Source organism: Homo sapiens, chromosome 19 (genome assembly GCF_000001405.40).
Source record: "Homo sapiens chromosome 19, GRCh38.p14 Primary Assembly".
NCBI classification, from domain to species: Eukaryota; Metazoa; Chordata; class Mammalia; order Primates; family Hominidae; genus Homo; species Homo sapiens.
In genome coordinates this window covers 36,409,578-36,437,148 of record NC_000019.10, presented here as the reverse complement: position 1 = coordinate 36,437,148, position 27,571 = coordinate 36,409,578, and the positions used below count along the sequence as shown (strand labels likewise).

General features: G+C 44.1%; 1 protein-coding gene and 1 pseudogene across 5 annotated transcripts in view, besides 4 other annotated features; one reads left to right on the top strand and one right to left on the bottom strand.

Annotated features, from left to right (window-relative positions):
* Window positions 7,773–8,272: an enhancer, noted in NCBI's record as "H3K4me1 hESC enhancer chr19:36919779-36920278 (GRCh37/hg19 assembly coordinates)". NCBI's record gives its function as "activates a minimal SCP1, AML or CMV promoter by ChIP-STARR-seq in primed H9 embryonic stem cells {active_cell/tissue: H9 hESC(primed)}" and the evidence as "EXISTENCE:reporter gene assay evidence [ECO:0000049][PMID:30033119]".
* Window positions 8,273–8,774: an enhancer, noted in NCBI's record as "H3K4me1 hESC enhancer chr19:36919277-36919778 (GRCh37/hg19 assembly coordinates)". NCBI's record gives its function as "activates a minimal SCP1, AML or CMV promoter by ChIP-STARR-seq in primed H9 embryonic stem cells {active_cell/tissue: H9 hESC(primed)}" and the evidence as "EXISTENCE:reporter gene assay evidence [ECO:0000049][PMID:30033119]".
* ACOT4P1 (ACOT4 pseudogene 1) lies at window positions 14,252–15,975 on the bottom strand (annotated as a pseudogene). Its single transcript, NR_033748.2, has one exon. The product of NR_033748.2 is annotated as an ACOT4 pseudogene 1 (transcript).
* Window positions 14,764–15,446: an enhancer, noted in NCBI's record as "H3K27ac-H3K4me1 hESC enhancer chr19:36912605-36913287 (GRCh37/hg19 assembly coordinates)". NCBI's record gives its function as "activates a minimal SCP1, AML or CMV promoter by ChIP-STARR-seq in naive H9 embryonic stem cells {active_cell/tissue: H9 hESC(naive)}" and the evidence as "EXISTENCE:reporter gene assay evidence [ECO:0000049][PMID:30033119]".
* Window positions 15,976–18,504: 2,529 nt separating the features above from the next.
* Window positions 18,505–27,571, top strand: part of ZFP82 (ZFP82 zinc finger protein) — a 35,525-nt gene continuing 26,458 nt past the window's right edge. For all 4 annotated transcript variants that reach the window (NM_001321919.2, NM_001321918.2, NM_133466.4 and 1 more), the window contains exons 1-2: window positions 18,505–18,657; window positions 27,282–27,368. In NM_001321919.2, the coding sequence (NP_001308848.1) occupies window positions 27,360–27,368 (9 nt within the window). In that variant the 5' untranslated portion in view covers window positions 18,505–18,657; window positions 27,282–27,359. The remainder of the gene's footprint in view (window positions 18,658–27,281; window positions 27,369–27,571) is intronic.
* Window positions 18,977–19,136: an enhancer, noted in NCBI's record as "active region_14522". NCBI's record gives its function as "activates an Ori minimal core promoter by ATAC-STARR-seq in GM12878 lymphoblastoid cells {active_cell/tissue: GM12878}" and the evidence as "EXISTENCE:reporter gene assay evidence [ECO:0000049][PMID:35858748]".

The window sequence follows — 27,571 nt, the reverse complement described above, 5'->3', positions numbered from 1 at the left end:
CCTGTAGTCCCAGCTACTTGAGAGGCTGAGGCAGGAGAATCGCTTGAACCCGGAAGGCGGAGGTTGCAGTGTGTTGCACTCCAGCCTGGGTGACAGAGCAAGACTCCATCTCAAAAAATAATAATAATAATAATAAAAACCCAAAAAACAAAAAAATAGCTGGGCATGGTGGTGCACGCCTGTAGTCTTAGCTACTTGGGAGGCTGAGGTGGGAGGATTGCTTGAGCCTGGGAGGCAGAGGTCTCGCCACTGTACTGCAGCCTGGGTGACAGAGCCAGACTCTGTCTCTAAATAAATAAACAAACAAACAAATAAATAAAATGTATTGGTGCTGGCAGCGTTTTACAAGAGCTGGAGAGTTCTGATTGGTGTGTGTCATTAGTTGCCAGGTAGGATTTGTAATCTCAGAGTAATGGTTAGGTCCTTGCAGTTTTGGATTGGGTCTGTGAGCCAATTTTGAAATAGGCAAGTGTTTTTGTATAAGCAGGTAGCTGGGCTTGTGTGACTCATGAAGTAAGCTGCAGTCTGGAAAAATTTCTTGTGAAATATTTGCCTGTTATCAGTCAGATTGTGTGTGAGAGCTCTCTCTTTATGGCCTTCCCCTGGCTTAATTTGCCAGGGTTTGACACAAGTGACCCTATTTTGAATGTTACAGCTTTCGCAGTTCACACCTTTATTCATTCCCACGACAATAGAAAGTACTTAGGCTACTCTAGCTACATGTATTCACCTACTTTCAATGTGGATTATTGTTCTCTTGTATTTTTATTATCTCTTTCTCAGGCATGCGCCACTATGACCAGCTAATTTTTGTACATTTTGTAGAGATGGGGTTTCGCCATGTTGTCCAGGCTGGTCTTGAACTCCTGGGCTCAAGCAATCCTCCTGCTTCAGCCTCTGAAAGTGCTACTACAGGTGTGAGCCACCGTGCCCAGTCAACATATATTGCTTTTTATAATCAATATTCATTCACATTTGCCCCCATAATTCCTATATTGCTTTCCATTCCTCCTTGCATAACAATATTTCCATTTGACATCATTTTCCCTATGTCCATTGATGAAATTCTACATTGGGCTTTTTTTTTTCCAGTACATTGAAGCTATCGTTTCATTCTTGACTTTCATTACTGCTATGAGAAGTCAGCTGTCAGTCTAATGACTACTTTGAAGGTAATTTATCCTTTTTACTTTTGCTGCTCTAAGATTTTCTCATTATCTTTGGTTTTTCTGCAGTTTGTCCATGATGGGTCTAGGTTAAGGGATTTGAGTCAATGGTTTAGGGACTTTCATGATCTTTGGAAATTGTTCGGCTATTGTTTCTTCTTCTTTTTGTTTTTGAGCTGGAGTCTCGCTCTGTCGCCCAGGCTGGAGTGCAGTGGCACAATCTCGGCTCACTGCATCCTCTGCCTCTGAGGTTCAAGCAATTCTCCTGCCACAGCCTCCCGACTAGCTGGGATTACAGGCACGCACCACTGTGCCCAATTAATTTTTGTATTTTTAGTAGAGCCAGGGTTTCACCATGTTGGCCAGGCTGGTCTTGAACTCTTGACCTTGTGATCCACCTGCCTCGGCCTCCCAAAGTGCTGGGATTACAGGAGTGAGTCACCACACCCAGCCAGCTATTGTTTCTTCTAATATTGATGTTTAATTGGAACTCCAACTAAAAATATGTTTGACCTTCTCACTCTGTCCTACATATCTTTTTTTTTTTTTTTTTTTGAGAAGAGGTCTCACTCTGTCACCCAGGCCAGAGTGTAGTGGTGTGATCATAGCTCACTGCAGCCTCTACCTTCCGCCCCAGCCTCCTGAGTAGCAGGCATGCACCACCATGCCCAGCTAATTTTATTTTATTGTATTTTAGTTTCATTTATTATATTTTATTTAGAGATAGGGTCTTGCCATGTTGCCTAGGCTGGTCTCAAACTCCAGGGATCAAGCAATCCTCCCACCCAAAGTACTGGGATTACAGTTGTGAGCCACTGCATTTGGCCAATATTTAATTTTCATTATTGTACTTTTCACATATGAAAGTTTTATTCGATTCTTTTGAAAATCTATGTCATTTTTGCAGGTCCCTATACATATTTTCTTCTTCTTCTTTTTTTTTTTTTTGAGATGGAGTCTCACTCTGTCACCCAGGCTGGAGTGCAGTGGCGCGATCTCGGCTCACTGCAAGCTCCGCCTCCCTGGTACAAGTGATTCTCCTGCCTCAGCCTCCCGAGTAGCTGGGACTACAGGCACCCGCCACCACACCTGGCTAATTTTGGTAGTTTTAGTAGAGACAGGGTTTCACCATATTGGTCAGGCTGGTCTCAAACTCCTGACCTCATGTGATCCATCTGCCTCGGCCTCCCAAAGTACTGGGATTACAGGCGTGAGCCACCACACCCGGCCTCCCCATACGTATTTTAAGGAGATAATTTCAGCACTGACCTTTATGCCTCTTCCTTTCCATGTTTCCATGTTTTGAGGGAGGGGAAAGGTGACAATTCCTAAGACTTGGGTTTTTAAACTTTTTAAATTGTAAGAATAAAACATAGATATAGAAAAACAAAACTATAACATAAAAATATAGCCAAATGAATTGTTACAAGACAAACACCTGTGTAACCAGAACTCAGGTCAAGAAATAGAACTTTGCTAGATAATCTAGAAGTTCCTCTGTGTTCCCTGTCCTTAAAAGTAACCAGTTCCACTCTCCTAACTTTTTTTTATTTTTTATTTTTTTGAGACAGAGTCTCACTCTGTCGCCCACGCTGGAGTGCAGTGGCACAATCATGGCTCACTGCAACTTCTGCCTCCCGGGTTCAAGCAATTCTCCTGCCTCAACCTCCTGAGTAGCTGGGATTACAGGCGTTTGCCACCACACCTGGCTAATTTTTATATTTCTATTAGAGACGGGATTTTGCCATGTTGGCCAGGCTGGTCTCGAACTCCCAACCTCAGGTGATCCACTTGCCGTGGCCTCCCAAAGTGCTGGGATTATAGGCGTGAGCCACTGAGCCCATCCCTCTCCTAACTTTTATAGTGATCACTTCCTTGTGTTCCTTTATAATATTATTATCCATTTGCACATCCCTAAATGCTTTTGCCTTCCCTTTTTTATTACTTGACATATCTTTTAAGTCTTTTAACCAGCAAGAGTCCCTGACACTCATATGTTGATAAAAGTATTTGATTTTGCTATGCTGGATATAAAATATTTGCCATATCTTTTCTTGCACTGAGTATGTAAAATATGTTACTCCATTTTCTTTTCTTTCTTTTTCTTTCTTTCTTTTTTCTTTAAAGACAGAGTCTTGCTCTGTTTCCCAGGCTAGAGTGCTGTGGCATGATCTCGGCTCACTGTAACCTCTGTCTCCTGGGTTCAAGCGATTCTCCTGCCTCAGCCTCCCAAGTAGCTGGGATTACAGGTGCTCGCCATCAAGCCAGGCTAATTTTTTTGAATTTTTTTTTTTAGAGATGGGGTTTCACCATGTTGGCCAGGCTGGTCTTGAACTCCTGACCTCAAGTGATCCGCCCACCTCAGCCTCCAAAGTGAGCCACCGCACCCGGCCTGTTACTCTATTTTCTACTTACTATTTACAACTGTCAGAAGGTAAATGACAACCTGATTTTTGTTGCTTTTTAAGTCACTTATACCTCTCACTAGTGATACACATCTTTTTTATTTCAGAAAATGTTTTATTATAATTATAACATTTTAGTATTTGTTCTTTTCTTTTGCTTTGGCTTGGTTCTTTAGAACCTTCTATTTATGTATTTGATCTTCTTGAACTGTCTTCTATGTTTGTCTCTTTCTCTCAGGTCTTTTTTTTTTGTTTTGTCACTTTCTTCATTTCCATCCAATTTTAGAAATTATCCTCATTTTGGCCGGGCGCAGTGGCTCACACCTGTAATCCCAGCACTTTGGGAGGCCGAGGCAGGTGGATCACGAGGTCAGGAGTTCAAGACCAGCCTGGCCAACATGGTGAAACCCCGTCTCTACTAAAAATACAAAAATAAGCTGGGCGTGGTGGTGGGCGCCTGTAATCCCAGTACTCAGGAGGCTGAAGCAGAAGAATCGCTTGAAACCAGAAAGCAGAGGTTGCAGTGAGCCGAGATCTGCCACTGCACTCCAGCCTGGGCGAAAGAGCAAAACTCCATCTCAAAAAAAAAAAAAAGAAATTATCCTCATTTTTCAGTTAACGAGTTTGCTCCAAACAAAAGAAATTTTCCTCATTTTTACCTTCAGTTTCTCATAAACATTTGTTGTGTTTATTCTTTGTGGTGGTCCTTTTAGTTTAGTTTTCATTTCTGAAATGATTTTTATTTGAATTATTTTCTGAATTATTACCTCATTTCCCGCATTTTCTGATTCTAACTGATTTTGTTCTTTCATATCTTGTATCATTTTGTTAATGAAATTTTAGCTCAGTCTGAAATAGCAAGTTCCAATTCTGATCTCCTGTGGGCATGGCTTTCTGATACGCTTTTATTGTCGGGAGGAATGTTATTGTGTTCCTTATTCTCTCTCTCTTTTAAATTGCAACTCTTAGGGACTTCATGCTTGATACTTTTCTGTTGTTTTTTTAAAAATTTTATTTATTTATTTATTTATTTATTTATTTATTTATTGAGATGGAGTCTTGCTTTGTCGCCCAGGCTGGAGTTCAATGGCACGATCTCGGCTCACTGCAACCTCCGCCTCCCAGGTTCAAGCCATTCTTCTGCCTGAGCTTCCCAAGTAGCTGGGACTAAAGGCATATACCACCATGCCTTTTTGTATTTTTAGTAGAGACGGGGTTTCACCATGTTGGCCAGGGTGGTCTCAAACTCCAGACCTCGTGATCGGCCCACCTCTGTCTCCTAAAGTGCTGGAATTACATTTAATTTTATTTTTTAAGACAGAGTCTCACTCTGTCACCCAGGCTAGAGTGCAGTGGTGGGATCTCAGCTCATTGCAACCTCCACCTCCAAGGCTCAAATGATCCTCCTGCCTCAGCCTTCCATGTAGCTGGGATTTAGTGCGCCAACATGCCCATCTAATTTTTTGTGTGTTTGTAGTAGAAACAGGGTGTCACCATGTTGGCCAGGCTGGTCTTGAACTCCTGACCTCAAGTGATCCACCCGCCTCAGCCTCCCAAAATGTTGGGATTACGGGCATGAGCCACCATGCCTGGCTGGTGTTGCTTATTATTTATCTATTTATTTAGAGATGGAAAGGAATTTTGGCTGTCAGTTTTAAGAGCTGTCACAGCGAAGAGTTCACTGGCCCCTTCAGGTCTTCCCTTGTGGACCACTTGCACTCCCCTCCTGTTGGTGTAGGAAAAGCCTCAACCCCTCTCTGCTGCTGCTGTCAGCATGGCCCTCTGTGTTTTTTTGTTTGTTTTGTTTTGTTTTTCGAGATGGAATCTTGCTCTGTCACCCAGGTTGGAGTGCAGAGGCACAATCTTGGCTCACTGCAACCTCCGCCTCTCGGGTTCAAGCGATTCTCCTGCCTCAGCCTCCTGAGTAGCTGGGATTACAGGTGCCTGCCACCATGCCCAGCTAATTTTGTATTTTTAGTAGCAACGGGGTTTCGCCACGTTGGCCAGGCTGGTCTTGAACTCCTGACCTCGTGATCCGCCTGCCTTGGCCTCCCAAAGTGCTGGGATTACAGGCATGAGCTACCGCACCCAACCCCCTCTGTGTGTTAATACTCGTTTTGAGGCTCTTCTGTTTTCAGATGATTTCAGATGCCCCATCACTTCCCCTGGCTGCCTCCTTCACAGATGCTCAGGTCCACCATGCAGGTATTGTGATGTTTATGATTGTTCTCATCTGCTTATATTTGGGGGCTCATGGGGACATTTCCTGTATTAGTTTGCTGGTACTGCTGTAACAGATTACCACAGCTGGGTAGTTTAAACATAACTTTATTTTCTCACAGCTCTAGAGGCTTTTCGTCACAGATCAAGGCGTTGGCAGGTCTGGTTTATCCTAAGGACTCTCTCCTTGGCTTGCAGACAACTGCCTTCTTGCTGGATTTTCACACGGCATTCACGCTGCGTGTGCACATCCTTAGGGTGCCTCAGCATATCCAAATTTCCTTTGTTAAAATAAGGACACCAGGCTGGGCATGGTGGCTCACACCTGTAATCCCAGCAGTTTGGGAGGCTGAGGTGGGTGGATCACCTGAAGTCAGGAGTTGGAGACCAGCCTGGGCAACATGGCGAAACCCCGTCTCTACTAAAAATACAAAAATTAGCCAGGCATGATAGCACGTGCCTGCAGTCCCCACTACTTGGGAGGCTGAGGCACGAGAATCGTTGAACCCAGGAGGTGGAGGTTACAGTAGCCAAGATCAAGCCACTGCACTCCAGCCTGTGTGACAGAGTGAGACTCTTGTCTCAAAAAAAAAAAAAAGATAAAATAAGGACAACAGTCATATAGGATTAGGACCCACCCTAACTACCTCATTTTAACTTAATCATCTCTTTGAAGGCTGCACCTCCAAATACACTCACATTGTGAGGTACTGGGGGTTACAGCTTAAACATACGAATTTTGGAAGCATGCAATTCAGCCCATCACATTATCTCACGTAGTTTTGTTTGAATGCTGTCAACAAGATTTTGGTTTTGCTGTCTGATTGCTCTATTTTTATTTGGGGATTTTGGAAGATTCAAAAACTACTGCTGGAGGCACAATTTTTCTAGAATCTTGGTGCTTCTGTTTTTGTTTTGTTTAATCAGCTTTATTGAGGGAAAATTTGCATGCAACAAAATTTATCAATTTTAAGTGTACAATTTGATGAGTTTTGACATACATGTAATCATGTAATTATTACCAGTGAACCTCAAAAATTTGAGAGAGGTCTTAGTTAATTTAGAAAGTTTATTTTGCCGCCGGGTGCGGTGGCTCACGCCTGCAATCCCAGCACTTTGGGAAGCCGAGGTGGGCGGATCACGAGGTCAGGAGTTTGAGACCAGCCTGGCCAACATGGTGAAACCCCGGCTCTACTAAAAATAAAAAATAAAAATAAATAAATTAGCCAGTCATGGTGGTGGGTGCCTGTAGTCCCAGCTACTCGGAAGGCTGAGGCAGGAGAATCACTTGAACCTGAGAGACAGAGGTTGCAGTGAGCCGAGATCTTGCCACTGCACTCCAGCCTGGGCGACAGAGTGAGACTCCATCTCAAAAAAAAAAGAAAGTTTATTTTGCCAAGGTTGAGGACATGCGTCCGTGACACAGCCTTAGGAGGTCCTGATGACACATGCCCAAGGTGGTCAGAGCACAGCTTGGTTTTAAACATTTTGGGAAGATATGAGACATCAATCAATATATGTAAAATAAACATTGGTTCGGTCCACAAAGGTAGGACAGGTCATAGGTAGGTGAGAGACAAACGGTTGCATTGTTTTTATTTATGGCTTTTTTTTTTTTTTTTTGAGACGCAGTTTCACTCTTGTCTCCCAGGCTGGAGTGCAGTGGCATGATCTTGGCTCACTGCAACGTCTGCCTCCCAGGTTCAAGCGATTCTCTCGCCTCAGCCTCCTGAGCTGGGATTATAGGTGCCCACCACCACGCCCAGCTAATTTTTTTGTATTTTTAGTAGAGACACGGTTTGGCCATGTCTCGAACTCCTGACCTCAGGTGATCTGCCCGGCTTGGCCTCCCAAAGTGCTGGGATTATAGGCATGAGCCGCCGTGCCTGGCCATGGTTGCATTCTTTTGAGTTTCTGATGAACCTCTCCAAACAGGCAATCAGATACGCATTTATCTCAGTGAGCAGAGGAATGACTTTGAATAGAATGGGAGGCAGGTTTGTCCCAAGCAGTTCCCAGCTTGACTTTTCTCTTTACTTTAGTGATTTTGGGGGCCCAAGATGTGTTCCTTTCACAACCACAACACAATCATGATATACAGAACTTCCATCAACTCAGAAAGCTCCCTCATGCCTTTTTTTTTTTTTTTTTTTTGAGACAAGAGTCTCGCTGTGTTGCTCAGGCTGGAGTGCAATGGCATGATCTCATCTCACTGCACCTTCTCTCCCCACCTCCAGAGTAGCTGAGACTACAGTGCCACTGCACCTGGCTAATTTTTGTATTTTTAGTAGAGACAGGGTTTCACCATGTTGGCCAGGCTCCTCTTGAACGCCTGACCATAAGTGATCTGCCCACCTCGGGTTCCCAAAGTGCTGGGATTACAAGCATGAGCCACTGCACCCACCCCCTCATGTTGCCCAGGCTGGAGTGCAGTGGCACAATCTCGGCTCAATGCAACCTCCACCTCCCGGGTTCAAGCGATTCTCCTGCCTCAGCCTGCCAAGTAGCTGGGATTACAGGTGTGCACAACCATGCCCAGCTAATTTTGTATTTTTAGTAGAGATGGGGTTTCTCCATGTTGGCCAGGCTGGTCTCCAACTCCTCACCTCAGGTGATCCGCCCGCCTCAGCCTCCCAAAGTGCTGGGATTACAGGCATGAGCCAGGGCGCCCGGCCACTCTTGCACTTTTGCAGTCCGGCCCCTCCCCATCCCCTGCCCCAGCCCCTGAGGGCCACTGTTCTGCTTCCTGTCCACAATAGTTGTACTTTTTCTAGAATTTCATATAAATAGAATCATACAGTATGTAGTCTTTTATGTAAAGCTTCTTGTATTTAACAGTGCTTTTGAGATTCATTCATGTTGTTGCATATATCAGTAAATTATTCTTTGTTTTCTGAGTAATATTGCATTTTTTGGACATCTTCCAATTTGTTTATCTGTTTACCAGTTGATAGAGAATGGGTAGTGTCCAGTTTTTGGCAGTGTGAATAAAACTACTATGAACATTCAAGGACAAATCTTTTTTTTTTTTTTTGAGACAGAGCCTTGCTCTGTCGCCCAGGCTGGAGTGCAATGGCCAGATGTTGGCTCACTGCAACCTCCGCCTCCTGGGTTCAAGCATTTCTCCTGCCCCAGCCTGCTGAGCAGCTGGGATTACAGGCGTGCAGCACCACGTCCACCTGATTTTTGTATTTTTAGTAGAGACGGGGTTTCACCATGTTGGTCACACTGGTCTCAAACTCCTGACCTCATGATCTGCCCACCTCAGCCTCCCAAAGTGTTGGGATTACAGGCGTGAGCCACTGTGTCTGGCCAATAATTTTTTTTTTAAAGGAAAATAAGTGCTAGTGAGAATGTAGCGAAATTGGAACTATCATACATTGTTTATGGAAATGTAAATGGTGTAGCTGCTGTGGAAAAAAGTTTGGTGGTTACTCAATAAATTAAACATAAAATTACTGTATGACTCAGGAATTCCATATATATATATATATATATATATATGTATGCTTTGTGTGTATGTGTGTATATATATATAAATATGCTATATATTATTTTTTAAAGACTTTTTTTTCTTTAAGACAGAATCTTGCACTGTTGCCCAGGCTGGAGTGCAATCTTGGCTTACTGCAACCTCCCCTTCTTGAATTTAAGTGATTTTCATGCCTCAGCCTCCCAAGTAGCTGGGATTACAGGTGCACGCCACCACACCCAGCTAATTTTTGTACTTTTAGTAGAGCAGAGTTTCACCATGTTGGCCAGGCTGGTCTCGAAATCCTGGCCTCAAGTGATCTGCCCACATTGGCCTTCCAAAGGGCTGAGATTACAGGTGTGAGCCACCATGCCTGGCCCACTTGTATATATTGAGTATATACCTAAAAGAATTGAAAATGAGTGTTTAAACAAAAACTTGTCCACAAAGTTTATGGCAGCAATATTCACAATAGCGAAAAGGTAGAAACAACGCACTTCTATCTACTGATGGATCAACAAAATGTGGTACATTCATACAATGGAATAGTATTCAGCTAGAAAAAGAAATAAAGTATTGATGTATGCTACAGCATGGATGAATATTCAAAACATTATGCTAAGTGAAAGGAGTCAGACATAAAAGGGCTCATCTCGTATGAAAGTATCTAGAACAGGTAAATCCATAGAGACAGAAAGCAGATTAGTAGCTGCCATGGCTGGAGGAAGTAAGGAATGGAAAGCAACTTAGAAGATATGTAGGTATATTAGTTCGTTTTCACACTGCTATAAAGAACTGCCCGAGACTGTGTAATTTATAAAGGAAGGATGTTTAATTGACTCAGTTCCGCATGGCTAGGGAGGCCTCAGGAAACTTACAATCATGACGGAAGGGGAAGCAAGCACATCTTACATGACAGCAGGCGAGAGAGAGAGTGTGAAGGAGGAACTGTCAAACACTTATAAAACCATCAGATCTGGTGAGAACTCACTCACTATCACAAAAACAGCATGGGGGAAACTGCCCCTATGATCCAATCACCTCCCATCAAGTCCCTCCTTCAACACATGGGGATTATGGGGATTACAATTTGAGATGCGATTTAGGTAGGGACACAGAGCCAAACCTTATCAGTGGCTTTTATTTTTATTTCTTTTTTTAGGGGAGTGGTGATTAAATATTCTGGAACTAGATAGTGGTGATGAAAGAACACTGTGAATTCAGCCGGGCGCGGTGGCTCACGCCTGTAATCCCAGCACTTTGGGAGGCTGAGGCAGGCGAATCACGAGGTCGGGAGTTCGAGACCAGCCTGGCCAACATGGTGAAACCCCATCTCTACTAAAATACAAAAATTAGCTGGGTGTGGTGGTGGGCACCTGCAATCCCAGCTACTCAGGAGGCTGAGGCATGAGAATGGCTTGAATCCAGGAGGTGGAGGTGGAGGTTGCAGCGAGCCAAGATCGTGCCACTGCACTCCAGACCCCAGCCCGGGCGACAATGCGAGACTCTGTCTCAAAAAACAAAAACAAAAACAAAAACAAAAAAACACTGTGAATTCACTAAGTGCCTCTAAATGTTATGCTTTAAAAATGGTTAAAATGGTGACTTTTTATATTATGTATATTTTGCCACAATAAAAACATTTTTATTGCTTTCCTGGTGTTATGACATGGAACGTTTAACTCCAGCTCACCCATCCTTTATCCAGTTCTACCTGAGCACCAGAGCCCTCTTACATCTTATGTCCCTGCTGACTTGGCTCTGTCTTATTAGCCCCATGGCTAAAGCTCTCGTCCTGCTGGTCACCAACTCTCCTTCATTACCTTCCCACAATAGACATTTCTCATATCTTCAGGCTATCCACAATTGCGACCCCACTTGTAATCAAATCCACAAAGGTACAAAACATACAAAAGGGAATCTGGCACACAAGAACTATAGGTAAGACCAGCTGGAATTGAGAAAGAGATTACTGTTCCCTGAACTCACTGCTGTTCCCTGAAGGGTGGAAGGTGGCCTCTTCCTTGGCTTCAGGGAGATATTTATTATGTGTTACACTGAGTAAACTATGAACCAAGATACCTAGTGTGTGGCTTTTTTGGCATAGAAGTTTTTGGAATGACTATCAGCAAACAGCAACCCAGAAAGAGAATTTCAGTTCCAAATGATTTAATTGAAAAGTTCTACCAACCCATTCAAGTTAAGAAGAATTCCAACCTTACATAGTAAACTTTCCCAGAGAATAAAAAGGCAGAAACAGTGACTTCTTTAATGAAAATATGATCACCTGTAATCCCAGCACTTTAGGAGGTGGAGATGGGTGGATCACGAGGTCAGGAGTTCAAGACCAGCCTGGCCAACATAGTGAAACCCCGTCTGTACTAAAAACACAAAAATTAGCTGGGCATGGTGGCATGTGCCTGTAGTCCCAGCTACTCGGGAGGCTGAGGCAGGAGAATCTCTTGAACCCAGGAGTTGGAGGTTGCAGTAGGCTGAGATCATGCCACTGCACTCCAGCTTGAGCAACAGAGAGAGACTTTTTCTCAAAAAAAAAAATCAAAGAAAGAAAATATCACCTTGATTTCAAAATCTCTCAAAGACAGTATGAGAAAAGAAAATTATGGGGTAGTTGTATTCATGAAGGTAGATGCAAAGTTCTTATCTAAATCATTAAGGAAACAACTTTATTAATTTTTAGCCAACTAGATTATGACCAACTTGAGATATTTATTCCAGAAATGCAAGTTTGACTTATTATTTAAAAATCAGTTAATATGATTCCCCACATTAACGTATTAATTTAGAAAGAACCCCAGGATCATCTCAAAAGATACAGAAAAGATGATAGAATTTCAAATCCAATTATCATCAAGCCTCTTGGAAAAATAGAGATACAAGGAAACTTCTAAGAAAGGATATCCAGGGAGAAATTTAAGCGCATTTTTTGATGGGCATGGTGCCTCACACCTGTAATCCCAGCACTTCGGGAGGCTGAGGCAGGAGGATTACTTGAGCCCAGGAGTTTGAGACCAGCCTGGGCAATATAGTGAGACCTCATCTCTACAAAAAATTTTAAAAATTAGCTGGGTGTGGTGGTACTTGTCCCAGCTACTCAGGAGGCTGAGTCAGGAGAACTACTTGAGCCTAGGAGGTAGAGGCTGCAGTGAGCCCTGATGGCACCATTGCACTCCAACCTAGGCGACAGAGGGAGACCCTGTTTCAAAAAACCAACAACACATTTTTTACTTAGTGATGAAATACCGAAATCTTTCCCTTTAAGATCAGGACCAAGGCAAGAAGGCCTGCTACCATCACTGCTAGTCAACAGTGTACTGGCTGCGTCACTTGGTGACCAAAAAAGGCTCTATCATCTGCAATGCTTCTCGTTCTGTGCTAATGATAAAATGTTACTCCAGCTTCACACTAATAAAGTCATTCCAGTGTGAAGACACTGGTTGAGTCTGACATATTAATGTCACATGTCTCTTTTCTGGAGGGTCATGTATTGTGAACTCTTTAGTGATAAATGGAGGTGAGACAGGAGAATAGGTCTGGAGGCAGGGAACCTAAGGCCATTCCCGCTGACTTCTTAGAACTGAATCAAAAGGAAAACCCCGTCTCTCCACACCCAAATAACAAAAGGATCAGAGGTTACTACCTTTGCACTGTGTGGCAGATGAAAAATGGAAAGTACCTCTGATTGGTCCCCTCCCGCAATCAATCAGATATTTGCATAGGGCGTAACTTGGTAACTACTATTTAGTCTCTGATTGGTCCTGTCTTCTGCAACCAATCAGACTGGTTGTGGGCCACTCCTTCATTTACATAGGGTGTAACCAAGTAACCAATGGGAAGCCTCTAGAGGGTATTTAAACCCCAGGAAATTCTGTAACCAGCACTCTTTGAGGCTTGGTCCTGCTCCCACTCTGTAGAGTGTACTTTCATTTCAATACATCTGTGCTTCCGTTGCTTCATTGTTTTGTTGCTTTGTGCATTTTGTCCAATTCTTTGTTCAAAACATCAAGAACCTGGATGACTACCATGAGACAAGAACTTAGCTTAAATCCCTACTACACTAATAACAGTTACCAGATTTCTCTACCTCTGTAAAGATTTCAATTGCTATAAAAACATTTACATTTCTAATATACATCTTTTCTCTTATGGAAATGCTTCGGTGAGTGTAAAGATTTGACTTTCAATGGAAATATTTACCACACAATAATATGTGTATGGCTTCATTTTTTCCATACTCTGCATTTATTTGGTTCCTTCCCTGTGAAGACTTTTCGAGTATCAGGAAGCATTGATTGAAAGCCAAACACCTCAATACATTTATCACATTTACTTAGTTTTTCTCCCATTTTGAATGGATGAGAATTTAAGCTGTTTAAATTTATTATATATAAAACATGTATTAGGTTTCAGACTGATGTCTATCAAGGCTTGACATTGATAACTACATTTCTAAAATGTCATTTAATTTCCAATTGCAAACATCCCCAGTGTTATATCTCTTAGATATCTCCTCTGTGGCCTCTCCGGGCGGCTACCTTGTGTTTTGAGGAGATTGCTGTGCTAGATAGAGGCTGTAACTCAACAACTTCTCTTTACCTATATCTATGGGAAAATTAAATTACATGTATGATACTTTGTTCAGAGATTTCTAGTTTACTAATTTTTTTTTTCTTGAGACAGAATCTTGCTCTTATCTTCCAGGATGGAGTGCAATGACATGATCTTGGCTCACTGCAACCTCCGCTTCCCGGGTTCAAGCGATTCTCCTGCCTCAGCCTCCCAAGTAGCTGGGATCACAGGTGCCCGCCACCACTCCTGGCTGATTTTTGTATTTTTTGTAGAGATGGGGTTTCGCCATGTTGGCCAGGCTGGTCTCGAACTCCTGACCTCATGATCTGCATGCCTCAGCCTCCCAAAGTGCTGGGATTACAGGCGTGAGCTACTGCGCCCGGCCGATTTTTTTTTTTTTTAATGACAAAGACATGGCTTTAATGTTATCCAGGAGACAGCTGATTCACATAGGGTTATTGAACACTAGAATCTGATCTTGACTCTCTCATGTCAACAACAGACAAACGCATTACAATTTAGGGAAAGCTGTTTTCTGGGTACCTCCCAGGTGTTTGCAGAAGGCGGCTAGAATTTGCTTCCAGGCATCTACCTGGGCCTTAGAATGAGCCCTGGCTCCCCAACCCATATCACGTGTTTGTTCAGTAATTTGTGAAGGGAAGCTGGGCACAGGGGGAAGTAAGGAGGCTCAGTGTAAAGCCCAGTCCCAGGGTAACAGATGATCTGGGGTTTTTCCTTTCCATGGGCCCGTAACCGTTCAGAGACTGGGCATACAACTCACTCCTCCAGTTATGGTCATCCTGACCAACAATGAAAATGATGGGGCCCTGGGCCTTCTCCATTGAAATCATGCTGGGGTTCTTATACCCTCCTACAAGATCATTCTTTATATCCACGACGTCCACGAGGCCTGAGAAAGCTACCTTGATTCTCCTCAGGTCATAGCCCAATGGTGGAATGCTATTCTGCTTACAGTTTATGCCTCTGTTCCCACTGATCCCGGATCCATTGATGGAAACTGTGTCTGAGTCATTCTTCAAGAATGAGGCCATTGAGAGACAAATATCAGCTCCTAGAGAAATGCCCCAAAGCCCAGTGCCTGGGCCTTTTACCTGGGGATGTTGAAGCATGTAGCATAGGGCTTCTTCGAAGTACTCCAGGGGTATGTTGTCCACGTTCTTGGGGAGATCTTCAAAGTTATAACAAGCTAGAGCGAACGTGGCAAAGCCATGGCCAGCAAGGAGGCTGGCTCGATATTCCAACAGGCTCCCTCCATTACCAAAGATGCCAATGATCCCTAGGAAGGGTCCAGGTCCTGGCGGCAGGAAGAGCGTGGCGCGCACCCGGCCCGCGCGCACCGAATCGCTCCGCACCCCTTGTGGGAGGAAGTCGCGCTCGTGCCGCGCCTGTCACAACAGCCGTCCAGGCTCGGGGTCGTGGCCGTCCAGCACCTCCAACTCCACGATAAAGGGAATCTGTACGTCCCGCTTCAGAAAGCGCCAAAAAGGTTTCTTGGATTCCAGGGCCCAGAGCAGCCCCATGGACTCTAGCCCCCTAAAGCTGCCGCCCAGCACGGGCGCGCGCTCCAGGTCCAGCTCGCCGCGGGCGTCGGCGCAGTAGCGGAAGAGCCCAGCCTTCTCGTCGCGCAGGGACGCGCGCGCAGCGTGTCCAGCGGCTCCGAAGCCAGGCCGCGCATGGTGATGCGCACCGGCTTGTCTCGGCAGCCGCGGCCCGCGGGCTCCAGGATCAGCGTTGCTGACATCTCGGAGCTGGAGCGGGGAATCTTAAGGTCGAGGCCCGAGGCCCGTCCAAGATCGTGGCAAGTGCGCCGATTGTCCAGAGGGCGTCCGGCGTCCCCTGGTGCCGGGAGCGGCCGGTGGCTGAGCAGTCCCAGAAAGCGCCTGGGACTTTAGACCAGTTAACCCGGCGCCCTGGACTCGTCTGAGGCAAAAGGAGCCAGACTCCTCTCCTGGGTCCTCTCCTTGGGCCCCGGGGAGCGCAGACTTTTTTTTTTTTTTTTTTCCTTTTTTTAATTTTGAGACAGGGTCTCGCTCTGTCGCCCAGCCCGGAGTGCAGTGGCCGATCCATAGCTCACTGTAATCTCGATCTCACAGGCTCAAGCTATCCTCCTGCCTTGGCCTTCCGAGTATGTGGGACTACAGGCATGAGTCATCACGCCTGGCCTAAGCCATCACGCCTGGCCTGATTTTTTTTTTTTACTTGGAAAAAAATATATACTTCACTCCCACAAAGTATTATTTTAGACTCCTGCCCCGTTATTCCTAGAGAATTAAAATTTCCAAGTAAAGTAAAAACAAAAAAGTAGTGAAGACAGAAGAGTATTTAACCATATCGCTGTAGAAAATTGTATTGAATATTCTAAGGCATGTGCTTGTCCTTTTTGTGTCTGTTGGTAGAAAAAGAATAAACATTAAACTCAGCTTAGTATTTCCAAAGTAGTAAGAAACACTTTTGCACATAAGGATACTTTGGGAAACCTTGTTTCCCCCACTGTCTTTACACTGAGTGAGTAACAAGGCTCTGTAAAGACGCAGGGGAATTGGTCACTAGCAGGCAAGGCAGACATCAAGCACTGTAAGAAATCAGAGACTGACTTCAAAGAAAACTCAGCGTTTACTGATAAATTGTGTTATATTACCCCATCAATGGCTAGCCTTCATGCCATGAAAATGCATCCATGTTAATGATGTCACTGTCTTACCTAACTGCAGGTGACAGCTGCCATGACATAGAAATGACATTGAACTTAAGGAAAACACTATACTGTTGCAAAATCCTTGTTAAAACCAAACATCTTAAATGCATTTGAAGCAGCGTGTCTAAGCCACGTAAAATCAAACCCTTGATAGTTATTAGCTGGCCTTCTTCTATAAAGAAAGCTTTCTTTTTTCTTTGTGCTTATTTAATGGGGTACAATCAATTATAGACATAATTGGTGGCACAGGGAAAATAATTATTTCAAGTAGTTTTTAAACACTAGCTGTATAACTAAGAGGGACATATAAAAACAGGGATTGGCAAACTTTTTCTTTAAAGGGCCTGATAGTAAATACAGTCAATCTTCATTCACAGATTCTGAATTTGTGAATTCATCTACTTGCTAAAACTTTTTTATAAACCCAGAGTCAATATTTGCAGCACCTTTGTGGTCATTTGTGGACATCCGAAGAGCGGTGAACCTTTTTGAGTCCCTTAACAGGCATGTTCTCAGCCAAAGTCAAACAAAGTGACCCTCTATCTTCTTATTTCAGCTCTCATACTGTAAACAGGTACCCTTTTTGCAGTCCATTTAGTACCTTGGCTTCTCATATTTTTGTTTTTTGCTGGTGATTTTGCTGTTTCAAAGGGACCCCAAATGTAGTAGTACTAAAGTGCTGTTGATGTTCCTATGAATGAGAAAGCGGTCATGTGTCTTACAGAAAAAATACATGTGTTAGATAAGCTTCATTCAGGCATGAGTTATGGAGCTGTTGGCCATGAGTTCAATGTTAATGAATCAATAATATATATTAAAGTGTTTAAATAGAAACACAATAAGGCCAGGCGCGGTGGCTCATGCCTATAATCCCAGCACTTTTGGGAGGCCAAGGCGGGTGGATCACCTGAGGTCAGGAGTTTGAGACCAGCCTGGTCAACATGGTGAAACTCCGTTTCTACAAAATACAAAAATCAGCTGGGCATGGTGACATGCATCTGTATTCCCAGCTACTCTGGGGGCTGAGGCAGGAGAATTGCTGGAACCCGGGAGGCGGAGGAGGTTGCAGTGAGCCAAGATCCCACCACTGCACTCCAGCCTGGGTGACAGAGCAAGACCCTATCTCAAAAAAAAAAAAAAAAAAGAAAAAAAGAAAATAAACACAATAAAATAAGCTTATGCATTCATCGGTTGACTAAAATGTGACCAGATGCTTACAGGAAACTAACCCTGTATTTCCCCTAGAAGCAGTGGAATGGTATTCACTAATTCCGTGTTTGTAGCAAGTTTATAGACCATAACTACTGTGAATAGTGAGAACTGACTGTATTTTAGGCTGCGTGGGCCATCTGGTCTGTGTAACTACTCGAGTCTGTCCTTGTAGCTCAAATATAGCAATAGACAGTACACAATCAAACACGGCTATGTTCCAATAAAACTTTTATTTATGGACACTGAAATTTGACATGTATGATTTTCATATTTCACAAAATATTGTTCTCCTTTTCATTGTTTTTACCATTTAAAAATACAGAAATGGAAAATATAGGAACTGGCTTCCCCGAATCTCCGGAGTCACACGGTCTCAAATCCCAACAGCCACACCCAGTGAAAGAATCCCACCCAGGAGCGCGCCAGGGACAGACTCGCAGCGCCGTCCTCGCTCACAGGGCTCCCTAGTTGGCACTATAGAGAGGCGGTCGCGGGCGCCCCTCTTTAACGCGCCAGCCATCTGTCCCCGCTCCCCTCCAGGCCCTGCCGCGCCGTCCCCAGGCGCTAAGGGACTCGAAGCGCAGCCTCGCTGGGACGGACCTAGCTCCGGCTCCGGGTTCACGCAGAGCAGGGGCTGCACCAGCGAGCGGACCCTTGAGACTGGCCGCGCCTGCGCACTCCGTGAGCGCGCCCGGCCCTCCCAGCAGCCTCCGCGCGCAGCCCGTTAGGCCCCGGGGATTGTGGCGTGACCCGGCAGCGGCTTCCTCCGTTCGGGCATCGCTGTGCCTCGGGTTCGCGCCCCGAGTGAGCAGTCCTGGCCCGGAGCGTCGGTCCTGGTAATCTGTAGGAAAAGCGCTGCGGCCCAGGGGGTAAAGAGAGGTAAGCGGGGCCACTGCAGTATCGCAGAGGGGCGGGAGCCCGCGCCTCAGGCCCGGGTGTGTGTGTCGTGGGCGTGACGGGGCCGGGGCTGGGACGTGACGGAGTCTGTGCGGCTGACTTGGGTGCAGAGACTATTGTATGAGCGAAGGTTGTTGTGGCCGTGGAGTGCGTGACTGACCCCAGCATCCTCTGCCCACACCGGGCCCAGCTGCAGAGAAATGGCCCTCGGTCAGTTTCTGCACGCCAAAGACTCCCAGCAGAAACGCGCAGACTAGGCCGGACCAGGTGGCTCACATCTGTAATCCCAGAGCTCTGGGAGAGCGAGGCGGGAGGATCGCTGGAAGCCAGGAGTTCGAGACCAGCCTGGGCAGCAAAGCGAAACTCCCATCTGTACCAGAAATTTAAAAAATGAGCCGGGTGTGATGGCGTGCTCCTGTGGTCCCAGCCACTCGAGAGGCTGAGGCGGGAGGATGGCTTGAGCCTAGGAGGAGATTGAGGCTGCAGCGAGCTATGATAGCACCACTACTCTCCAGCCTGGGCAACAGCGAAACAAGGCTCAGACCCGACCTTGGGATAGGAATATTAGAACTGAACGAGCCCCCGCTCCCGCCCAGGCTTGCTCCTGGAAGGGACTCCCACACCACCTCCTCGCGGACCCGGACCCACGCACGTGCACTCACAACTCTGAAGAGTCCAGCTGCAGGTTTCAGAACCACAGCATTGCTTCCAGGAAGCTATTGTGAACTCCAGTTCTAGCCCCGGGCATCCATGACCCTGGCCTTTCTTTGATACTGGGAAGAGTTAACAACACCATCTCTCTTATGTTACTCTGGTTATGTGTGGGTGGGCGGTGGGGGCATTGTGCCCTATGCGAGGCTGGGCTGCAAGAAAAGCCTGGTTCCCTTATTAGCCAGTCCTGCCCAATTCTTTAAGAAAAGGGGTCCGAGCGGGAGGAGGAATGAATTGCTGTTGCCTGTTTAAGTCAAGGTCGAGGCGAGTGGGTGTTTCTGCTTTCTTCTGTGAAATGCATTCTTATTTCTTAGGACATGAGAATATTTGTTTCATTCTCCATAAATGTCCTGTCCATTGAGCTGATACCTAGGTCCCCTCCCGAGAGCCTGTATGCACATACCCATTTGGTAGATGTTTTTCATTACTTCTGTGGGCCTTCTTTTAATTACTATGTGTAAAGTTCTTAGAACAGTTCCTGAGACCTCGTTAGTACTTAATAAACCTTAGTTATGTATTCTTAAGTAGTGATTTGGAGCAATTCTACATCAGCCTTCTATAGATGGGGGGAAAATGAAAATACTAAGCCAATTGTGGTGAGTATTTCCTAGTAAAAAATAAATGAGCCAGATCAGATGCTTAAATAGTCTAAAACAGGAATTCTTTTTTTTTTTTTTTTTTTTTTTTTTTGAGACAGGGTCTTGCTCTGTCACCCAGGTTGGAGTGCAGTGGCACAATCTCAGCTCACTGCAACCTCCCTTTCCGTGGTTCAAGCGATTCTTATACCTCAGCCTCCCAAGTAGCTGGGATTACAGGCCTGCACCACCACACCCAGCTAATTTTTGTATTTTTAGTACAGACCGGGTTTTACCATGTTGGCCAGGCTGGTCTCAAACTCCTGGCCTCAAGTGATCTGCCTGCCTCGGCCTCCCAAAGTGCTGGAATGACAGGCATGAGCCACCGCCCCCAGCCTAGAACAGGAATTCTTTTTTTTTTTTTTTTTTTTGAGACGGAGTTTCGCTCTTATTTCCCAGGCTGGAGTGCAATGGTGTGATCCCAGCTCACCGCAACCTCCGCCTCCCAGGTTCAAGCGATTCTCCTGCCTCAGCCACCCTAGTAGCTGGGATTACAGGCATATACCACCACGCCTGCCTAATCTTGTATTTTTAGTAGAGACGGGGTTTCTCCATGTTGGTCAGGCTGGTCTTGAACTCCCGACCTCAGGTGATCTGCCCGCCTTGGCCTCCCAAAGTGCTGGGATTACAGGCATGAGCCACCGTGCCCGGCCATAGAACAGGAATTCTTAACCAGAAGTAATTTGAATTCATTTGAGGCTTTCAGGGGACCAGATACTCTTTGAAATTGTACGTAAAATTGTTATAGATATCTGTTAATATGCCACTTTTATGGGGAGAAAATATGTAATTTAATGAGATTATCAAACATGATCCATTAAGATTCAGATCTACTGGCCTAGAATCAAAGTCTGTAACCTTTGAGAATGTTTTTCAATGTTAGACACAAAATTAGTGTCTAATAGTAGGAAATGATTAAATAAGCCACACTCCATGTGATGCAGCTTTTTGCCATTAATAAATACTGTTAATTATGAGAAGGAAAAAAAGCTTGTGATCGATGTTGTCTAAGCAATAGTTTTGAACAAGATGACTCACAAAACCTTTAATCATGTATGAATCGCTCTTAATAAGCTAGAGATTTATAAAACATTTTGCAAGGATTATACATAATATAAAACTAGTTTCTTAGTGGAGAAAAAAAGATAAACTGTTGTTTACCACACTGTTCTGTCTGCTTTGGTATACTTTTACTGAATTTAGGAATGTCGCTTGATTGTGTTCATTCATAGAAGAATCTTGAGAGTGAAAATAGCCCATCGTTTTGATGAAGAACAGTTAAAGAACTGATGGGTGTTACTTATTTGTGCCACACTGTTGTTTATTTTCCCAAAACCCACTCATGTCACAGGCTTATAGAATCACAATTTTCTTAACAACTAAAAGATATTCCTTCTTCACAACTCTGTTTTTAATTCTATGTGTATGAAAATAGTTTAATTGGCTGGGCGCAGTGGCTCACGCCTGTAATCTCAACACTTGGGAGGCTGAGGTGGGCAGATCACCTGAGGTCAGAAGTTTGAGACCAACCTGGCCAATATGGTAAAACCTGTCTCTACTAAAAATAGAAAAATTAGCTGGGCACAGTGGCGCCTGCCTGTAATCCCAGCTATTTGGGAGGCTGAGGCAGAAGAATTGCTTGAACCCATGAGGCAGAGGTTGCAGTGAGCCGAGATCCTGCCATTACACTCCAGCCTGGGTGACAGAGTGAGACTCAGTCTCCAAAAAAAAAAGAAAGTCCTGGTTTAAGCTGCCAACTATATTTAGTACTATTCAGAACAGATTTTCTCCATCCCCTACCACCCAGTCATCTTCACTCTATAAGAATAAAATTTAAGTTGCCCGTAGTCTCACCATCCACAATAAATATTACTATTCTAATGTTTGCTTTTCCATTTTTTTCTGTGCACTTGTGCACATGTGTTTGTTTTCCAAAATAGAATCACAACAATTGATCATTTAAGGAGACAAAGACTCTGCAACACTTTGTTTGAAAAAGGAAAAAGAGGTTGGGCCTGGTGGCTCACGCCTGTAATTCCAGCACTTTGGGAGGCCAAGGTGGGCGGATCACCTGAGGTCAGGAGTTCCAGACCAGCCTGACTAACATGGTGAAACCCTGTCTCTACTAAAAATACAAAATTAGCCAGGCGTGGTGGTGCATGCCTGTAATCCCAGCTGCTTGGGAGGCTGAGGCATGAGGACCACTTGAACCCGGAAGGTGGAGGTTGCAGTGAGCCGAGATCTTGCCATTGCATTCCAGCCCGGGCAACAGGAGCGAAACTGTCTCAAAAAAAAAAAAAAAGTATTTAATATGATACCTTATCAAAGCAAAATTCTTGAGCTGGTTTTATGATATGGAATGGTGTCCCTTTGGAGCTACTAGGGATGGAAAGTAACAGGGGCCTTGCTCTACTTTTTGATTTCTGTGAATCCTTTTTTGATAACATTATTAAGAAGAATTACATAGGCCAGGTGCGGTGGCTCATCTCTATAATCCCAAGACTTTGGGAGGCCGAGGCAGGCAGATCACGAGGTCAGGAGATCGAGACCATCCTGGCCAACATGGTGAAACCCTGTCTGTACTAAAATACAAAAAATCAGCCGGGTGTGGTGGCATGCTCCTGCAGTCCCAGTTACTTGGGAGGCTGAGGCAGGGGAATCACTTGAACCCGGGAGGCAGAGATTGCAGTGAGCTGAGATCATGCCACTGCATTCCAGCCTGGCGACAGAGCAAGATTGTGTCTCAAAAAAAAAAAAAAAAAAGTAGAATTACATTTTCAAGCCTAGTTCTAACATTTATCAATGTTTTAAGAGCAATGCTGAAAAATCTCAAAAATCTCAAAAATCCCTTTAGAGAAAGGGACTGCTATTGAAATTGTTAAAGATAATTTATCAGCAAATACCAAATTTTTAAATTGAAAATTATTGAAGCCAGTGTGGTGGCTAACGCCTGTAATCCCAGCACTTTGGGAGGCCAAGGCGGGCGGATCACGAGGTCAGGAGATCGAGACTATGTTGGCTAACATGGTGAAACCCCGTCTCTACTAAAAATACAAAAAATTAGCCGGGCGTGGTGGCGGGCACCTGTAGTCCCAGCTACTCGGGAGGCTGAGGCAGACGATTGGCCTGAACCCGGGAGGTGGAACTTGCAGTGAGCCGAGATCTTGCCACTGCACTCCAGCCTGGGTAACAGAGCGAGACTGCATCTCAAAAAAAAAAAAAAAAAATTATTGAAGATAATTTTTAAAATAGTGGAATGAGGGGTATGTGATGTTTTTCACTGAATTTAGTGCTTACAGTAAGCCATTTTAAGTGCTTTATGTATTATGTTCTTAACCTTCACAACAACCCTATAAGGTAGGTACTGTTTATTCCTTAGTTTATATCTGAGGAAACTGAGACACTGAAAATTAATGCGTCCAAATTCTCACAGTTAATAATTCTCAGAGCTCTGTTCATATCCTGAATCTTGATAACAAAGCCTGTATTTTTAATAACTGAGAGTCTGCCACCTCCCAACATTGTACATATTCTTTTAGTCTGACTCCCATAGCTAGTAATTTATCATGAATATCTTCCTTCTTTAATTAATGTGGGCCAATGCCATCATTAATAATTGCATAATGTGCTATAATATAGTAGAACATCATTTATTCAACTTGTTGCCTACTGTTAGGTATTTGATTTCAGGTTGTCGTAAATTATTCTTTTTTTTTTGAGACAGAATCTCACTCTGTTGCCCACGCTGAAGTGCAGTGGTGCAATCTCAGCTCACTGCAACCTCCGCCTCCCAGATTCAAGTGATTCTCCTGCCTCAGCCTCCCAAGTAGCTGGGATTACAGGTGTCTGCCACCACGCCCAGCTTATTTTTGTATTATTGGTAGAGATGGAGTTTCGTCATGTTGGCGAGGCTAGTCTCAAACTGCTGACCTCAAGTGATCTGCCCACCTCGGCCTCCCAAAGTGTTGGTTACAGGCATGAGCCACTATGCCTGGCCAATAAATTATTCTTTGATGAACTCTCTTGCAATACATCTTTGTATACTTTTACAAATATTTCCTAACGATAAATTCCTAAAAGTGGAATTTCTGGGTTGAATTATGAGACATTTATAAAGTACTCACAATATGCCAGATCCTGTGCCAGTCCTTGGGGGAAATACAGTGACCAAAATGACATGGTTGATATCCTTACATTGTTTGTTGTCTTTCAAGGTAGATAAGCCTATGCAAGAATAACACTGAGATAGGTGAGGTAAAGTCATTGAAGAATTCAGGTGGCATGGCTTGAGAGGTCATGGGAAGCAGACAGCTGATTGTAGCAAGCATTGTCAGGTCACGACCAAATAATACCAAACTCATGGGGTTCCTGTGGGGTAATGGATTTTATGTAATAAGCATGTGCCTTATAGTTTTTATTTTCATGATGTTGATGCAAATGAACAGCACAAGAAGATTCAGCAGCTCCTAGGTGGGCCTCATGGCTAAAACAACTCTTTCAGAAACAAAACAAAAGCTTGGTCAAGAAGTCATGAGAAGTAGCAGCAGTGAAACAAGGCATTAATTGAAGATGTTTAGCCATGTTTATATAGGCAGAACTCTGACATACATGAACACACTTAGAAATCATAGAGTCAGTTCAGATTTTGGGAGCTGAAATCAACAAAACCAGTAAAAACATAGAAGCTGCTTGTAGGATATTGAGTTTTTTTCTCCAAGTTCAAGGGATGACTACTTTAAAAACTATCTCTTTAACCTATTTAAAGAACGCTTTCCACTATGCAAAGTTAAAATATATGTTTCAAGTATATATGGTCATGTAGAATTATGAAATAAATGTAAGCGAAAAGGAAATCAAGATCAATATCTATTGATGCCTGTCAGTGTTTCTTTGTGCTGATTTGCATGTATACTTTACAGATGTCCTAATAATGTTCATTTTATTTTTCTAAGAGATTATATATCTTGAATATTTTATATGTCCTTGTGTATTTTCTAAAACTTAGCACTTAGAGATTAATACACACGCACACTCTCTCTCTCTCTCTCTCTGTTTCTCTCACGTCTGTTTTTGCTGTACCTTAACAGGATCATACTACTCACAACTGTTTGTTACTGCACTCCTCACTCAACAAACTGTACTGAACATATTTCCATATTTCCAGTTAAAGAGCTGCATTATCATTTTTTAAATGGCAACAGTTTGTTTTACTCTATGGATGCTTTATGATTTATTTAATCTGTTTTCTTTTTTTTTTTTTTTTGAGACGGGGTCTTGCTCTGTTGCCCAGGCTGGAGTGCAGTGGCATGATCCCGCCTCACTGCAAGCTCCGCCTCCTGGTTTCACGCCATTCTCCTGCCTCAGCCTCCCGGGTAGCTGGGCTTACAGGTGCCTGCCACCATGCCCGGCTAATTTTTTGTATTTTTAGTAGAGACGGGGTTTCACCATGTTAGCCAGGATTATTTAATCTGTTTTCTATTGAAGGACATTTAGGTTCTTCCCAGCTTTTTTCCATTATGAACAAGGTCAACATACTGTTACACATACCTTTGATCATATGTACAATTTTTTTTAATCCCCAAAGTAGAATTTCTGAATCAAAGAGTATGCGTGGTTTAAATGCTGCTTGTACATACTTTGAAATCTATGCAGTCTGCAGTATACTGGTTAGAATGTTCATTTCCTCTCATGCTTGCAAATATGGGTATCAGTACTCAGATACCTGTTGGTGAGCTGATGTGTTATTTTTATTTTATTTTTTTTTAGTGAATCATGCATGCCAGTTTTCGCTCACTGGAATAGAAATTCTGGGTTTCAGAAACAAGAGCTAGAGTTGAAGGAAAGCCGACTCTATGGTTAGATAAATGATTCCAAATGCAGCTTTGCTACTCATAAACTGCATTTCTACAAATGATTTTATTTCCTTTTTTTTTTTAGATGGAGTCTTGCTCTGTCTCCCAGGCTGGGGTGCAATGGCGCAATCTCGGCTCACTGCAACCTCCGCCCCCCTAGGTCCAAGCGATTCTCCTCCCTCAGCCTCCCCAGTAACTGGGATTATAGGCGTCTGCCACCACACCCAGCTAATTTTTGTATTTTTAGTAGAGACAGGGTTTTACCATGTTGGTCAGGCTGGTCTCGAACTCCTGACCTCAGGTGATCCACCTGCCTTGGCCTCCCATAGTGCTGGGATTATAGGCGTGAGCCATCTCGCCCAGCCCAAGTGGTTTTATTTCTCTTCATGTGAATTTCTGATCCATTGCATGGATAGAATAATTATTGTGCTAAAGAGCAATCCTGAGGATATAGTTAATATATATAAAACAGGCCGGGTGGGTGCGGTGGCTCACATCTGTAATCTCAGCACTTTGGGATGCCGAGGCGGGCGGATCATGAAGTCAGGAGTTCGAGACCAGCCTGGTGAATATGGTGAAACCTGGTCTCTACTAAAAATACAAAAATTAGCCAGGCGTGGTGGTGCGTGCCTGTAGTCCCAGCTACTTGGGAGGCTGAGGCAGAAGAATTGCTTGAACCCGGGTGGCGGGGGTTGCAGTGAGCTGAGATCGTGCCACCGCACTCCAACCTGGGCAATAAGAGCAAGACTCCATCTCAAAAAAACAAAAACAAGAACAAACAACAGCAACAACAACAACAAAATATATATATATACACACACATATACACACACACACACACATACATATATAACACCCAACATACTGGAATTCTTGATAAATAGACATTTGTTATTGTCAAATGACCAAGAGCATGAATCCATGCCTGTTCAGCCTAGGTTGTAAGAAAGAGAATGGCAAATGAATTCATTCCAGAAAACAATGTGGATGATTCTGATTCTGACTGGAAAGAGAGAGTGATGAGCCCAGAGGATTTTGAAAGTTGTTCTGGCTGCAAGCAGGGCTGCCAGTGTGCAGTTTTGTGGTGGTAATGGCTGCCAGGCTTGGTCTTTATGAATTTCTCTCTTTGTGTCTGGTGAATCTAAACAGGCCTATGAAACTTTGAAGAAGGAAGATTGTGGTTTAGATGATACAGCCCCTTATCAGCCCTGGAATTAGCAAGGGATTAGACTCGTCCAGACTCCCTCAAATTTCTCTCTCTCTCTCTGCCTATGTGTGTGTGCGCGCGTGTGTGTTGGAGGAGCTGTGGTGGAGAGATCAGAAGAGAGGGGAAAGGTCACAGTAACTCAAATCATTTGGGGATTTCTGAGGTCCATCTGATCTCATGGCCTTGTTTTCCTCTCCCTAGATCAGCCTCTGTGGACTCGGTGCTTCTCCTGGCAAGTAAACCCCAAGGAGGACTGACCAGTTCTTGAATTTCTATACCATGGCCCTTGTAAGTTTTTTTCTCCTCCTAGGAATACTATCATGTTAAGGTTCTGTGACCATTTTTTTATTCTGAAACTTCCTTACTATCAGAGCTCCATCCAAGAACCTTCTTCCAGTTCTTCCAAATCCAGTGGCGGGTGAACCACAATGCTTGTCCTATGAACACTCTTTATTCTAGTCATTGTTCTTATCTTTGTTGAACAAATTATT